Source organism: Homo sapiens, chromosome 13, assembly GCF_000001405.40.
Source record: "Homo sapiens chromosome 13, GRCh38.p14 Primary Assembly".
NCBI lineage: Eukaryota > Metazoa > Chordata > Mammalia > Primates > Hominidae > Homo > Homo sapiens.
Window position 1 is genome coordinate 46,353,182 of NC_000013.11, and position 14,609 is coordinate 46,367,790.

Below are 14,609 nucleotides of genomic sequence, written 5' to 3' on the forward strand. Positions count from 1 at the left end.
GGTCACACTCTGAGTTGATGTTTAAAAGCAAACAAATAAAGAGTTGTTTTTTGTTATTCATGATAGTTATGTTCTCTAGAGTCGCCATGAACACTGAATTAGTCAATACTGAACCACTGCTCCTGGGGGAAATTCAGGGTTAGGCACCTGTGAGCTTCTGGTAGCAACAGTTTCATCTACTCCTCAACACACACTCAATATCCATTCACTCATTCATCAAACTTCATTGAATACATGCTGTTATACTATCAATACAGAATACACTAATGTCCATCTTTTTTAATTTCCTAAGTCCTTTAACTAAAACAGAATACAAAGTGACCTAAACCAGTGGTTCTTGGCCAAGGGTGATTTTGCCTCCCAAGGGGCATTTGCAAATGTCTGGCGCCATTTTCAGTGGCCACTGGGAGCTGCTTCTGGCACCTACTGATGCTGCTAAACATCCTACAGTGCACAGGACCCCCCACGACAAAGTCCATGGTACTGAAGTTGAGAAATCCTGCTCCAAAACACAATTGTCCTCATTTTATGAAAAGTCAGCATCAGGGGGTTGGGTGGAAGAGAAATATTCTAGAACAGAGATGTCCGGTATAACTTTCCATGGGGATAAAAGTGTTCTATATCTGTGCTGTCCAATACAGTAGCCATGAGTTACATGTGGCTATTGAGTACTTGAAATGTAGTTAGTGTGACTGAGGAACTGAATTCTTAATTTCAATTAATTTAATTTTAAATAGCCAGGTGGACTAGTGCTACCATACTGCATAGTGCAGTTCTAGAATAAAGCTAACTAAAGAGAATCAATAACTAAATGCAATGTATGAAATTTGATTGCAACCTTGATGGAAAAAATAGCCATAAATGATACCTTAAGAACAAAAAGGACTAGGAAGTAGACAATATAGAGAATTGTTTTTAATTTTTTTGGTGTGATAACTTGTTTCTTATCCTTATTTTTGGGATATACTGAACTAGTAAAGGGTAAAATGTCATGTTCAGTGTGTGGAAATTGAAGGAGACTAAGGAAAACATGACAACTAAATTCTGAAACAGATAAAGGATGTTACTGAAAACCTGGTGAAATCTGAATAAAGCCTGGGGTTTCATTAATAGGACTGTACCCCATGCTAATTTCTCAGGTTGAAACTATGATTATGTAAGATGTTAGCAGTAGAGGAAGCTGGGTGAAGGGTGTACAGGAACTCTCTCTACTCTTTTTGCAACTCTTCTGTAAATCTAAAATTATCTCAAAGACAAAAGTTAAAAAAAATGTATCCTAGAAGCTAGAGGAATTTAACAGGAAAAGCCCAAAATTATTTCTATGCTGTCTACAATCTGGGCCCCGCCTACATCTGCAGCATGTTTTCTCCTCCTATTCTTACTCTCTGGCCACACAGGGTTTCTTTTACTTGCCACAGGCCCTTTGCACATGACGAACACCCCTACTTCTGTGGGCAATCACTTTCCGATGAAACCTCTTACTCCCAGCTTCTCAAGCTCAGATGAAGTTCCCTTGCTGTAAATCCCACGGCACTCTTGACTCTTTTGTTACGTACATCACTTTGTGTTACATACACTTACTTGGCTGATGAGTGTATCTTCCCTAAAAGATGATAAGCAAGCTCCCTGAGGGCAAGGCCACTGTACAAAAGTGCAGACACACATCTCCATACCTGAACAAGCTTAGGGAAATAACAAAAAGTTGGTGGAGCGATAGTCATATGTGTACAGTTTCTGACTCATGCATTCAATATTTACAGAAGCGCCAGGATACAGTGGTTAACCAAAGAGACATGTTCCCCACTAGATGTGCTGGGAAAATGACTCATTCAAAGAAAATCAGCAACAATGGTGATGCCCGTCAGGCATTATCATCCAGTGTAGGAGAGGAAGCCCAGATCGATTCCTGCTTGCTATTTTTATCTCTTGAAGTAGGAGCTCCTCATAGTCTTTTTCCTTCAAAAACCGACTATCAAAGGCTAAGGGAACTCTTTCCACAAAGCTCCTCTTTCCAGCCTTTTGCAGGTCAGACATACAGGTACCATCAGAGCAGAACAAGTGATTCCCAGTCTCAAGGGGGAAACTTGCATTTCTGACTGAGGAAAGCCCGAGCTTTTTTTTTTTTTTTTTTGAGACGGAGTCTCACTTTGTCATGCAGGCTGGAGTACAATAGTGTGATCTCGGCTCACTGCAACCTCTGCCTCCTGGTTTCAAGGAATTTTCCTGTCTCAGCCTCCCGAGTAGCTGGGATTACAGGAGCCTGCCACCCATGCCTGGCTAATTTTTTTGTATTTTTAGTAGAGATGTGGTTTCACAATGTTGGCCAGGCTGGTCTCAAACTCCTGACCTCAGGTGATCCACCCACCTTAGCCTCCCAAAGTGCTGGGATTACAGGTGGGAGACACCGTGCCTGGCCCAGGAAAGCCTAATCTTCTAGGCCTCAGTTGGCCCAGGAATGATCCTCTCAGGCTACCTCCTCAAACTCTCAGAGAAGTTTGGCTAGCTCCTTGTTAAGCCATTCCTTTACTCAACAAATATCTTTTGAAGACCTACTATGTGCCAGGCACTCTTCTAGAAGCTGGAAATAAAGTAATAAATACAACAGACAACACATGTGGCCTCACAGAACTTATAATCTAGTGTTGAAGACAGATAATAATAAGACATATTAGTAAAATATAAGAGACTATTTTAGAAAGACTGTGCTAAGAATACAAAATAAGAAGGAACTTCTAAGAAAATATTGTGCAAGAAAATAAAGAAAAAAAATAAGGATGGGTAATATAAAGCGTTCATGGGATTGTCTGTGGCCAGCAGTGGGGCAAGACAGGTATTTTAGATAGGGCAGCAAGGGAAGACCTCGTGACTTTGGAGTGAAAATGTGAAAGAAGCAAAGGAATTAGTCATGGGGGTGTCTGCAGAGAGAGCATTTGGGGGAGAGAAAACCACAAACGCAAATATGTCAGAAGTGAGCCTGGCATTTTCAAGGGGCAGCAGGAGGCCACGTGGCTGGAGCTGATGCCCAACAGGGAGAGAACTAGGAGGCTGGTCCTGGTGTCCTCGGTCCTAGTTGATCACACAGCCTTGTCAGTCATGATGGACTCCTCATGAAAAGGAGGGCAACTTCTCTGAAGCTCTTATAACAACTTCTCATCAAAGGCATCTCTCACACAAGCAATGCGCTGCCCTACTTTGCTATTCTGGACCTTGTCATCACATCATAAGCAGGCGATCCATTATCCGTACTTACTAGGCTCTACTGGAGTTCCACAGCCGGCACAGAAAAAATTCTGGGCTGCCACCACAAGGTCCCTCCTGAATACGAAAAATAATACTAGTTACATTTCAGAGAAGGCCAATGGCACATTTTTCACTAATTAGAAAAGAAATTGCCATCGTGATACTTTTCTAACTAAGGGCCTTAACTTTGTCACTTTTCATTTGGGAAAGAAATAGATTTATTCAATACAATTTTCTAGTTGAAATCCCTGGGTCTTTTAAAGCTATGACTAATTTTTTTTATTTTTCATTTTTTTTCCTGAGACAGGGTCTTGCTCTGTCACGCAGGCTGGAGGGCACTGGCATGATCATAGTTCACTACTGCCTCAAACTCCTCGGCTCAGCTCAAGCAATCCTCAGCCTCCTGTGTAGGTAGCTAGGACTACATGTACACGCCACCATGCCCAGCTAGCTTTTTTTGGCTTTATTTACTTTTTTTTTTTTTTTTGGTAGAGATAGGGTCTCTCTATGTTGCCCACACTGGTTTCGAACTCCTGGCCTCAAGTCATCCCCCTACTTCGGCCTCCCAAAGTGCTGGAATTACAGGCATGAGCCGCCGTGCCCAGCCTTAAAGCTACATCTCTTTAAAAGCTTCTGCTAGGCTGGGCACGGTGGCTCACGCCTGTAATCCCAGCACTTTGGGAGGCTGAGGCAGGCGGATCACGAGGTCAGGAGATGGAGACCATCCTGGCCAAACCCTGTCTCTACTAAAAATACAAAAAATTAGCCGGGCGTGGTGGTGGACACCTGTGGTCCCAGCTACTTCGGAGGCTGAGGCAGGAGAATGGCGTGAACCCGGGAGACGGAGCTTGCAGTGAGCCAAGATCGCGCCACTGCACTCCAGCCTGGGCGATAGAGTGAGACTCCGTCTCAAAAAAAAAAAAAAAAAAAAGCTTCTGCTAAAACCAAAGCAGAAGTCAGCGTCACTGATAACTCCAAGGGGTTTTTAGGGAGGTCTCGATGCCCGTGTACAGGGTTCCAGCTCCAGAGAGAACCAGAGACATGTTATACAAGGAAGACAGCTCAGGGAGGCCATACACCAAAAGATGATGCACTTGGGAAATTCACAAATGGATCTAAAGAAATTTAGACGAATAAGAGGTAACGTAAGACAAAGAAATCAAATCATTTCTGGTAAGAGATATTCCATTCCATTGAGGAATTTTCTTTCTTTTTTTTTTTTTTTTGAGATGGAGTCTTATTCTGTTGCCCAGGCTGGAGTGCAGTGGTGCAATCTCAGCTCACTGCAACCTTCACCTCCCAGGTTCAAGCAGTTCTCCTGCCTCAGCCTCCCAAGTAGCTAGGACCACAGGCATGCACCACCATGCCCGGCTAATTTTTGTATTTTTAGTAGAGACAGGGTTCTGCCATGTTAGCCAGGCTGGTCTTGAACTCCTGACCTCAGGTGATCCCGCCCACCTCGGCCTCCCAAAGTGCTGAGATTACAGGCATTGGCCACTGTGCCCGGCCTGAGGGATTTTCTATTGAACTGTTTATCCCATAGTTTTACATGTGACTTGGAAATACCAAGGAAATTGTAAAATTTGTTTACAGTTCAGGATCAGCAAAAGATGGCCAAGGTAAAAATATGCTAAATCTCTGCCCAGGTGCCATAGTGAGGACCTAGGAAACCCCTAAAGAAAAGATACCCCAGGCTAAGGAAAGCAACCTCTCACGATGCCTAGACAGGGAGTTCTGCCCAAGCAGCCCCACAGACTTTCTTGGCATTCTCTCAAAAAAAGAAAAACAAAAGAAAGATCTAGTCTATAAGGCACCTCCGTGGGGCAGAGTCAACCTCTCTCCAGTCCCTTGGGCACAGTCAACAACCCTCACCGGTCCCTTTGTAATGCTTGGCAGTTTGCACACCAAATTGAATACAAACCAAGAGGGATGGAAAAATTATACTTGGTTAAAATGTTTTGTGTATAATCTTTGATCATAATCTGTCCTATAGTCTCGGAACAAATTACAATTAAACTATTACTTTAAATTTATAGGTTTATTTCCTTTTTTGCATAATCTTAGTTGTTTTGTCTTTTAGAACTTTTGTTACTTCTTAGAGAACAAACATATTTTTATTTACATTTTGTTACATTTCTTTTGTTGGTTTTGAGATCGAGTCTCGCTCTGTCACCCAAGCTGGAGTGCACTGGTGCAATCTCAGCTCACTGCAACCTCTGCCTCCTGGGTTAAAGCAATTCTTGCTCCTCAGCCTCCCGAGTAGCTGGGATTAGAGGGCTGCACCCACCACACCTAGTTTATTTTTGTATTTTTAGTAGAGAGAGGGTTTCACCATGTTGCCCAGGCTGACCCCAAACTCCTGACATCAGGTGATCCCTGACCCCAGCCTAGGCCTCCCAAAGTGCTGGGATTATAGACAGGTGTGAGCCACCGTACCCGGCCTCTGTAACATTTCTTAACTATAAGTGCTTTCCCTAAGATTAAATGTTCCTTTTTTAGAAGTTTATTCATTCATTTTTATTTCACACTGATTGTTCTGGAAGATAAAGTGGTCCAGTCTTTTAAAATTATCATAGGCTGAGCGAGGTGGCTCACACCTGTAATCCCAGCACTTTGGGAGGCTGAGGTGGGCAGATCACTTGAGCCCAGGAGTCCAACACCAGCCTGGGCAACATGGTGAAACCCCATCTCTAATTTTTTTAAAAAGGAAACACATTTTAAAAAATTATTGTATATAATTTTTAAGTTTTGATATTAGCCACTTTTAAAAATCCCCTTTAAGCCTATTTAATTTTCAGTTGCTACGCAATATTGACAATTAGGGTTGCATAGCTGAATTCTCAACTTGTCAAAACTTACAGAGCCCCCAAAAGTCCATGGTAAACAAGAGGAAAAAAAAAAAAAACCTAAGCCAGAAAATACAGCCAACTTTCCTTTCCCTAAAACAAATTTTCCTGTGTTCTTTAGCATATGTATTTTTTTCACCTACTGCCATAGAGTCAGGTGGGATCTGTCACAATGTGATTTAAATGGATTGGAGGCCCAAGCAACAGCCCATACTTACTTGAGTGGTGGATGAATATTAAATATGATTTGAAATCTAGGAGGAGCCCAGTCTTCAGTCCCTCTGATCCTAGACTTAAATTTAATTTCCTGTACTACATTCATACTGGATTCAAAGTCTTTTCGGACACACTCTTCATTTACGACCTGCATAAGACATAAAATGATTTAGGAACAACTTAAGCATATTTCAAAGAATTTAAATTAAAGAAACATCTAAATGTATTTCCAACATTAAAATTTACCATGAAAAATTAACAGTGCTTTTAACTGAACTAAAGGGCATACCAAGAGCCCTCCACATCTCTAAAGCCATCTGCAAGAGAATTGCTTTAAACACCACCCAGATGAGATCACTTTTCTTAGTATTTTTAGTTCATTTATTTCCAGACTTCAAATTTACTGTAAGTAGGTCATTTTGACCTGGAATGCATTTATGAATAGCAGAAGCCTCACCCCTCTTAGTCAACAGACTGACAAATGCTACCAATCAGAACCCCTATCATTATTAGTCTTCCCCAGAAACAGCTCTATTAAGACCTTTCCCCTTGCTTACAAATGTTCAGTGCCTCCCCGCTGAACCACTGGACTTTCCTACTGTCATTTAAAATCCAAACTTCTCAGCTGGGTGCAGTGGCTCATGCTTGTTTTCCTAGCACTTTGGGAGGCCGAGGTGGGTGGATCACTTGAGGTCAGGAGTTTGAGACCAGCCTGGCCAACATAGTGAAACCCTGTCTCTACTAAAAGTACAAAAGTTAGCCAGAAATTGCTTGAACCCAGGAGGTGGAGGTTGCAGTGAGTCGAGCTTGTGCCACTGCACTCCACCCTGGGCAACAGAGTGAGACTCCATCTTAAAAAATAAATAAAATAAAATAAAATAAAATCCAAACTTCTCAAATTAGCATTCTACATCCTCCACAATTTGGCTACTATCATTCAAACCTTATTTCCATAAAGAACAACCTCTCAGACACAAATACTCACAAACGGGTATTATCCAACCGCAGCGAATCACTCTGCTCAACGGCATAGCATGCCCCTCCACTTTTGCTGCAGCTCCCCTTTGCCAAGAACGTCCTCCCCCAACCTTTCTACCTGCCACAGTTCTGGCCAGCCCAATACTTAGCTCAAGTTCTGAAATCTGCAGTCAGCCTTCCTAAGTTCCCCTGGTAAAATTAAACACTCCTTCCTCTGCACTTCGAGGGCATTTTCCCTACCCCTGTTTTAGCCTTTGTCATAATGTTCTCTACCCTCAGAAGGCTGCTTGCTCTCTGACAGCAGTGAGCAGTGTGTTCCATGAGGGAACCAACATGTACTTTCCAATGAGGCAGCCTGGGCATGACTCCTGCTTCACAGCTGACCAGCCCTGCTGGGAGGCTGGGCCCACCACTTAAAAATAAAAATAAGGACAGCCTCTACCTAACAGGATACTTATGAGGATTAAAATGTGGACTGCTGGCCGGGCACGGTGGCTCAGGCCTATAATCCTAGCACTTTGAGAGGCCAAGGTGGGCAGATCACTTGAGGTCAGGAGTTGGAAACCAGCTGGCCAGCATGGTGAAACCCTGTCTCTACTAAAAATACAAAAAAGTTAGCTGGGCGTGGTGGCGTGCGCCTGTAGTCCCAGCTACTTGGGAGGCTGAGGCAGGAGAATCGCTTGAACCCAGGAAGCGGAGGTTGCAGTGAGCTGAGATTGCGCCACTGCACTCCAGCCTGGGTGACAGAGCAAGAATCCGTCTCAAAAAAATTAATAAATAAAATAAAATAATGTGGACTGCTGAGCACAGTCTCTGGTACACAATAAGTACTCAACACATGCCAGTTTCCTCATTCATTTTGAGTCTCCCCTAATATCCAGTGACCATACAAGGAAAGACAAATGTTTAAAGTGAACAGGGCAGGCAAAATGAGGATTTAGGAACTTTCAATTCAAGGTCAATTTTTTTTGATACTTACTATCGAGCCAGCTGCACTCAGGGAACCTGCCAGCTGAGAATTAACTACTGACAGTATCCAGCACTTCTGGAACACGCGGTACAGCTCTTTGGCTAATAGTTCTGCAGAATTGAAGTCTGGCTCATAAGTGACACTGAAATGTAAGAGATGCAAATACTGGAAAACTATATTCATGAGGAGTATGTTCAGGGTCTTCCTGAGGTTTTCAACTGTTCTTCCCAGCCCCCAAAACTCAGAAGAGGCTGTCATATGAGATGACGCATGAATCACTCACCAGGCATCTTACTCAACATGGCTCCTGCATGTTCAATAAATAAAGCATCTTTTATTTACTGAGGGCGCTAAGACTTAGAGGTGTGGTGAAAGAGCACTGGCTTTAGAGTCAGAAGACCTGCATTCAAGCCCTACTTCTACCTCACAGCCTTCGTGTCCCGAAGCACATCCTATATATGAGTCTCAATTTTTATGTCTATAAAATGAGGTTTAAAAATACATAAATATATGGTCGGGCATGGTGGCTCACACCTGTAATCCCAGAATTTTGGGAGGCTGAGGCAGGCGGATCACCTGAGGTCAGGAGTTCAAGACCAGCCTGGTCAACATAGTGAAACCCCATCTCTACTAAAAATACAAAAAAAAAAAAAAAATTAACCAGGTGTGGTGGCAGGTGCCTATAATCCCAGCTATTCAGGAGGCTGAGGCAGGAGAATTGCTTGAACCCAGGAGGCGGAGGTTGCAGTGAGCCGAGATTGGGCCATTGCACTCTACCCTGGGTGACAAGAGCAAAACTCGGTCTCAAAAACAACAACAACAAAAACATAAATATACACACACATGCATACATAAAATTCACCCAACCTGTTTAACTGAAATGAGGATTAAATGAAAATGCATACAAAAGCCTTTTATATATTGTAAAACACTATAGAAACTTTGGGGGTGATTGTTTCATTTCTAGGTGATACTCTCCTAGATTCATGGGAACAAATCACTGGAACTAGCTAAAGTGGGCCCAGAATGTCAGAGGCCTAGGTTTCACACTGCCTCAGAGGTGACAGCCCAAGGGTCTATGTGCACTGTGCACAGAAGACAGATACCTCTTAGAGGAGCTGCAGGAACAGCTACAGGTTTCTGTGATATCATTAAAATCTCCAAGCTCTGTGGGAAAATAAAAGAAAGAGTGGTGAGGTCTTTTAGTCTGTTTCATTTAATCGCAGTCCATTTTATAAGAACACTAAAATCACTCCCTGCATCTCAGAAAGAGCAAATTATTCAGCATCTCCATGCTTCAGGTTCTGAGAAATGGACAGAACAGATAATGAGAGGACAGATAATGATCAAAGATGGGATTTCATCTGAAATTTCACCAAAATATAACTGAGAGGCCAAAGAGATATCCGACCATAATGAATATCTGCTTTTTCATTCAACTCTACAAGTGAGATGAGAGATTAGCTATCCAGACATTTGAAACAAGAACATCATATATATATATATAGATATATATATATATATATATATATATATATATATATCAGGGCCATAATCTGATTTTGGAAGAAGTTGGTTTGAATGCCACTGTAACGTAATGTTGTGTGTGATGCATGTTAGTGTGTGTATGCGGATGGGATTGGGGAGGCAGCCAGTCACATCCAAACAGTTTCCAAATCTTACCTAAAATAACAAATTCATCAACATCGCATTTGCAAATCTCTTTCACATCATGGTAAGTACGTGTTTCAGTCACTGGGCTGACCTGTAACACAGCACAACCTAGACAAAGAAAGGAAGGAGGTTTTTACCAATAAGAAGAAAAAGAAAAACTGTACAACCTGCAACACCCAACTAAATAGAAATTGGGAAATGAAGAGGGCTAAAAGTTTAAGAGAATTAAACATTTCAACTTAAAGAATTAAAAAACTGGGGAACTATTTGTGTGTTCTTTTTGCACTCACTATGATTAAGTGCCTGTAGTCCCAGCTATTCGGAAGGCTTTCATCACAAAGAAGCTATCTGCAGTCCATCCAATGTTTTAAAATATTGAAACACTGAAAGCATCTAAACGTTTAATAATAGGAAATTGATTTTGCAAATCACACGATTAAATACTATCATTTAAAAATGTAAATCTGCCAGGGGCAGGGGCGTGCACTTGTAGTCCCAGCTACTCAGGAGGCTGAGGTAGGAGAATCACTTGAGCCCAGGAGTTCAAGTCCAGCCTGGGCAACATGGCAGAACCCCCGTCTCTACAAAAAATACAAAAAAATTAGCCCAGTGTGGTGGCCCGGCCAGCACCTGTAGTCCCAGCTGCTCAAAAGACTGAGGTGGGAGAATCACTTGAGCCTGGGAGGCGGAGATTGTAGTGAGCTGAGATCATGCCACTGCACTCCAGCCTGGGTGACAGAGTAAGACCCTGTCTCAAAAAAAAAAAAAAGTGAAAACTATAGCAACATGATTATTAATACTAGTAGTATGAATAGTATTAATACTATTAATAATACTGATAATAGCATTAATAATCATTATTATATTATTAATATAATTATATAATCATTGTAAATATAAATTTGTAAAACTGTCTTCATTTGAATAAACATAGGAGAGAAACACAGAAAAAGGAATACAGTTGTTTAAGGAAATAGCCTAGCCCATAGTTTACATAGAAGTTATGTGGGCTGGGCGCAGTGGCTCATGCCTGTAATCCCAGCACTTTGGGAGGCTGAGGCAGGCGGATCACAAGGTCAGGAGTTTGAGACCAGACTGGCCAACAAGGTGAAACCCCATCTCTACTAAAAATACAAAAAAAATTAGCCAGGTGTGGTGGCAGGTGCCTGTAGTCCCAGCTACTTGGGAGGCTGAGGCCGGAGAATCGCTTGAACCTGGGAGGCAGAGGTTGCAGTAAGCTAAAACCACACCATTGCACTCCAGCCTAGGCAACACAGACAGACTCCATCTCAAAAAAAAAAGAAGTTATGTGAAGGGTTTTACAGTAGGCTGGCTGACTTTAAGACAGAACCCATTCTAGCTGGGTGACGATGGACAACCACCACTTCCAGCTGCAGTTTCCTCATGGATAGAATGGGGGTAAGAGCACCCATCTGTGTTTTTCACTGTCTTTTGCCCATCATCCATAGTAACGTACAATTTACATTGTGACTTAGTACAGACACAATAATATGTTTAACTGATAAAAAAAAAAAAACTTTCAGGAAACATTGCTCACCCTCAGTGAGATGCACTCTGCTATTTTCTACCCTTGTTTTTTTTTTTTTTAATGTTCTCAGGACCAACTGGCAGTTTGAGTAATACCAACCCACCTCATGGAGGAACATCTATTGCCACAAATGTCACAAAAGAAGTACTTAATAAAAGATAAATATTTATATTTGGAGGATAGAAATATTCTTAATTTTCATTTAACATATTCATATTTATTCATGTTTTCTTAAAGTTTCAGCTACCATCAATTTACACCCAACCACTATTTATAAAAATACCTATTTCAGACAAGGCATTATACTAAACACAAATACAAAGAAGACAATTTCTCAGCCATCTAAGAGTTTAAAATCTCATGAAAGGCTGGGTGTGGTGGCTCGTGCCTGTAATCCCAGCAATTTGGGAGGCCGAGGCAAGCGGATCACCTGAGGTCAGGAGTTTGAGACCAGCCTGGCCAACATGGTGAAAGCTCGTCTCTACTAAAAATACAAAAATTAGCTGGGCGTGATGGTGTGCGGCTGTAATCCCAGCTATTTGGGAGGCTGAGGCAGAAGAATGGTTTGAACATGGGAGGTAGAGGTTGCTGTGAGCCGAGATCGCACCACTCTACTCCGGCCTGGGCAACAGAGAAAGACTCCATCTCAAAAAAAAAAAAAAAAAAAAAAAATCTCATGAAGGAGCTGAGATACGAACAGACCTAAACCACGTACACACACAAAAAACACAGTTGCATTGCATGGGCCTTGAGAAGTTCTGAGGCAAGGTTCTGCACTACACAACTCCAGGGAAAGACGAGCATGCAGATGGCACTGGAGCATTCTGGAGCACAACCTGTGTTTCATTCCACATGGATGGTGCTCCTCCCCTGGGATACAAACCAGGGAGCATGTCACAGTGACAGTGGCAGGACATTGCTTCTGAAGGATGCGAAGGATGAAAGACCTGATGTGTGGTTACTGGGGGAACCCACATTTCAGGACATCCTTCCCAAAGCCATGGGGGGAAATGTCTGCCAGCAACTATACACAGTCTAGTTCAACTACAGCCCACCATCCAGCCAAGGGGAATGGCACGAGATTCCTGTTTAAAAGGCAGGAAGCAGCTGGATGCCACAAGGCTAAAAATTCCAGAATAAAATGTGGCAAAAGCTCAGCAAGCCATTATAGAGGACAAAAAGTTGTGATCCAGGAAGACAGATACATGCAGGATCAACTAGGGGAAACAAGTTGAAAGTAAAGAGAGAAAATTAAACCAAATCGGTATTAAAGAACTAAATTGTAGTCCTTACAAAATGACTAGCCAGAAGGCTACTGCAGCGGGCCAGGTAAGGGATAGAAATGGGAAATGGATGGAAGAGAAGTGATTACGACTGAGAAGTCAGGATTGATTTGTTTACTAACTAGAAACGGGACAGGAGCACAAGACCACAGAAGAAGGAAGAGTCCAGTATACTAAATAGGAATTACTTCTTCTCCACCCACATTCATTTTCTCCCTACTGGTAGCCTCAGAGGGCACGATCGTCCATATCAGATTTCCCCGCCCCCTGGCTGCATCTGACCAACCAGTTATGGACATCTAACCAAGGTAAGGCCCATCAGGTGCTCTGTCCTGGGATCTGGACTGAGGGTCCTGCAAAACTGAGTTGTTGAGATGTGACCTGGCTGAGTGGTCAGGAAGACTGCAGAGCTGAAACTAGATGCCAGGGGTGGGTAGAAGTAGGTAGGCTACAGAAAAAGAATGAAGCAATTGCTAGAAAAGAAGAGATGAGAGGCCCAAAGTCCCCGAAAAGATAGACACTGGAGCTTTGTCTACACTGGTCATATGTGTCCCAGATATATTTCCCACCACTGGGTTCAGTGAGAATGTTCTATATCTTAAGACAAAACAACCCTTTTAATTTGAGCCAGTTAGTGCATTCAACAGGTATTTGATCATATACCTATTCTGTGCCAGGCATTATGCTATACACCATATGGAGTGAGTTCTTCCTTTGTTATTGAGTATTCCTGATTAACGTGTAGTAAAGGAAGTCAAGAAGAAAAGCAAGCTTCAGTGGTTTTCTTTGGAAAGAAGGGGATTGTGAGAGAGTGATGGAGAGATGACTAGTTTAGACATATTAAGTTATAGGTTAACTACACCCACCTTTATGTTGCAGTGAACATATATCAACAATGAATAAAATGAAGCATTTTAAGTCACCCAGAAATGAAGTATTAAGTCACAGGTCCTGGGGGGCCAGCCAGACGGACAAGCCTCCAGCCTTAGAGAGCAAGCACTTAGAAGAGATGTCCAGGACTGAAAACATAGATTCAGGAGATAATAGCTGAGAAGGAATAATTGAAGGTGTATAGTAGGTTAAATCTGCCAGGAAGCAAATACAGATTAAAAAAAGAATATAGGACTGGAGGCAGGACTTAAGAAATGGTAAGAAAGTAGCAAACCCTAACATGAGCTATCGGCTTAGGCACTCGTCCCTCGGGGAAGAGCCCCCAGGTCCCAGAGTGAGCCGAGGCACTCCTCCTCAGTGACAGTGACGCACTGTGCTGGGTCCCCACCTCTGTTCTACAGGTTACCCCACAGGGCTTCCCGGTCCCATGCTCCAGCACGCAGACTCCTTGAGGGAAGGAGCACACCCTGCATACTGTTGATGTTCAGCACCTAGCACAGCACAGGCCCATTACTGAATGAAAAAAAGAAGATTCATTGGAAAAGGAAAGATGGTGTAAGAACAGCTAGGAGAATGCCATGTGACAGAAAACAAAGGACGAGGAGACATCAGCCACGTTTATTTCCAGTGAAAAAGAAAAGTAGGATGAAGTCCAAGATTAAAAGAACAAAACAAAACAAAACATAGGATTTGACAACTGAACGGAGCATGATAACCAATCCTGACCCAAGATGGCAGAAAGGGTGAGGATTACAGAGGTTACTCAAGAAGTTTTTAGACAAAGGATTTAAAGACATACATTTGTCCTGCTTTATCTGCAGTTTTACTTCCCGTGGTTTTAGTTACCTGCTGTCAACTGGTCCAAAAATATTCAATGAAAAGTTCCAGAAATGAACAATTCTTAAGTTTTAAATTGTGCACCATCCTGAGTAGGATGATGAACTCCCACACGTCTTGCCATG

General features: G+C 42.5%; 1 protein-coding gene across 8 annotated transcripts in view; it reads right to left on the reverse strand.

Moving 5' to 3' along the window:
* The window catches only part of RUBCNL (rubicon like autophagy enhancer), a 55,362-nt gene that overhangs the window by 18,501 nt on the left and 22,252 nt on the right, over nt 1-14,609 (reverse strand). For all 8 annotated transcript variants that reach the window (NM_001286766.3, NM_001286765.3, NM_025113.5 and 5 more), the window contains 5 exons: nt 9,934-10,032; nt 9,357-9,417; nt 8,260-8,392; nt 6,305-6,450; nt 3,251-3,315 (listed from right to left, as the gene is read on the reverse strand). In NM_001286766.3, the coding sequence (NP_001273695.1) occupies nt 3,251-3,315; nt 6,305-6,450; nt 8,260-8,392; nt 9,357-9,417; nt 9,934-10,032 (504 nt within the window). The remainder of the gene's footprint in view (nt 1-3,250; nt 3,316-6,304; nt 6,451-8,259; nt 8,393-9,356; nt 9,418-9,933; nt 10,033-14,609) is intronic.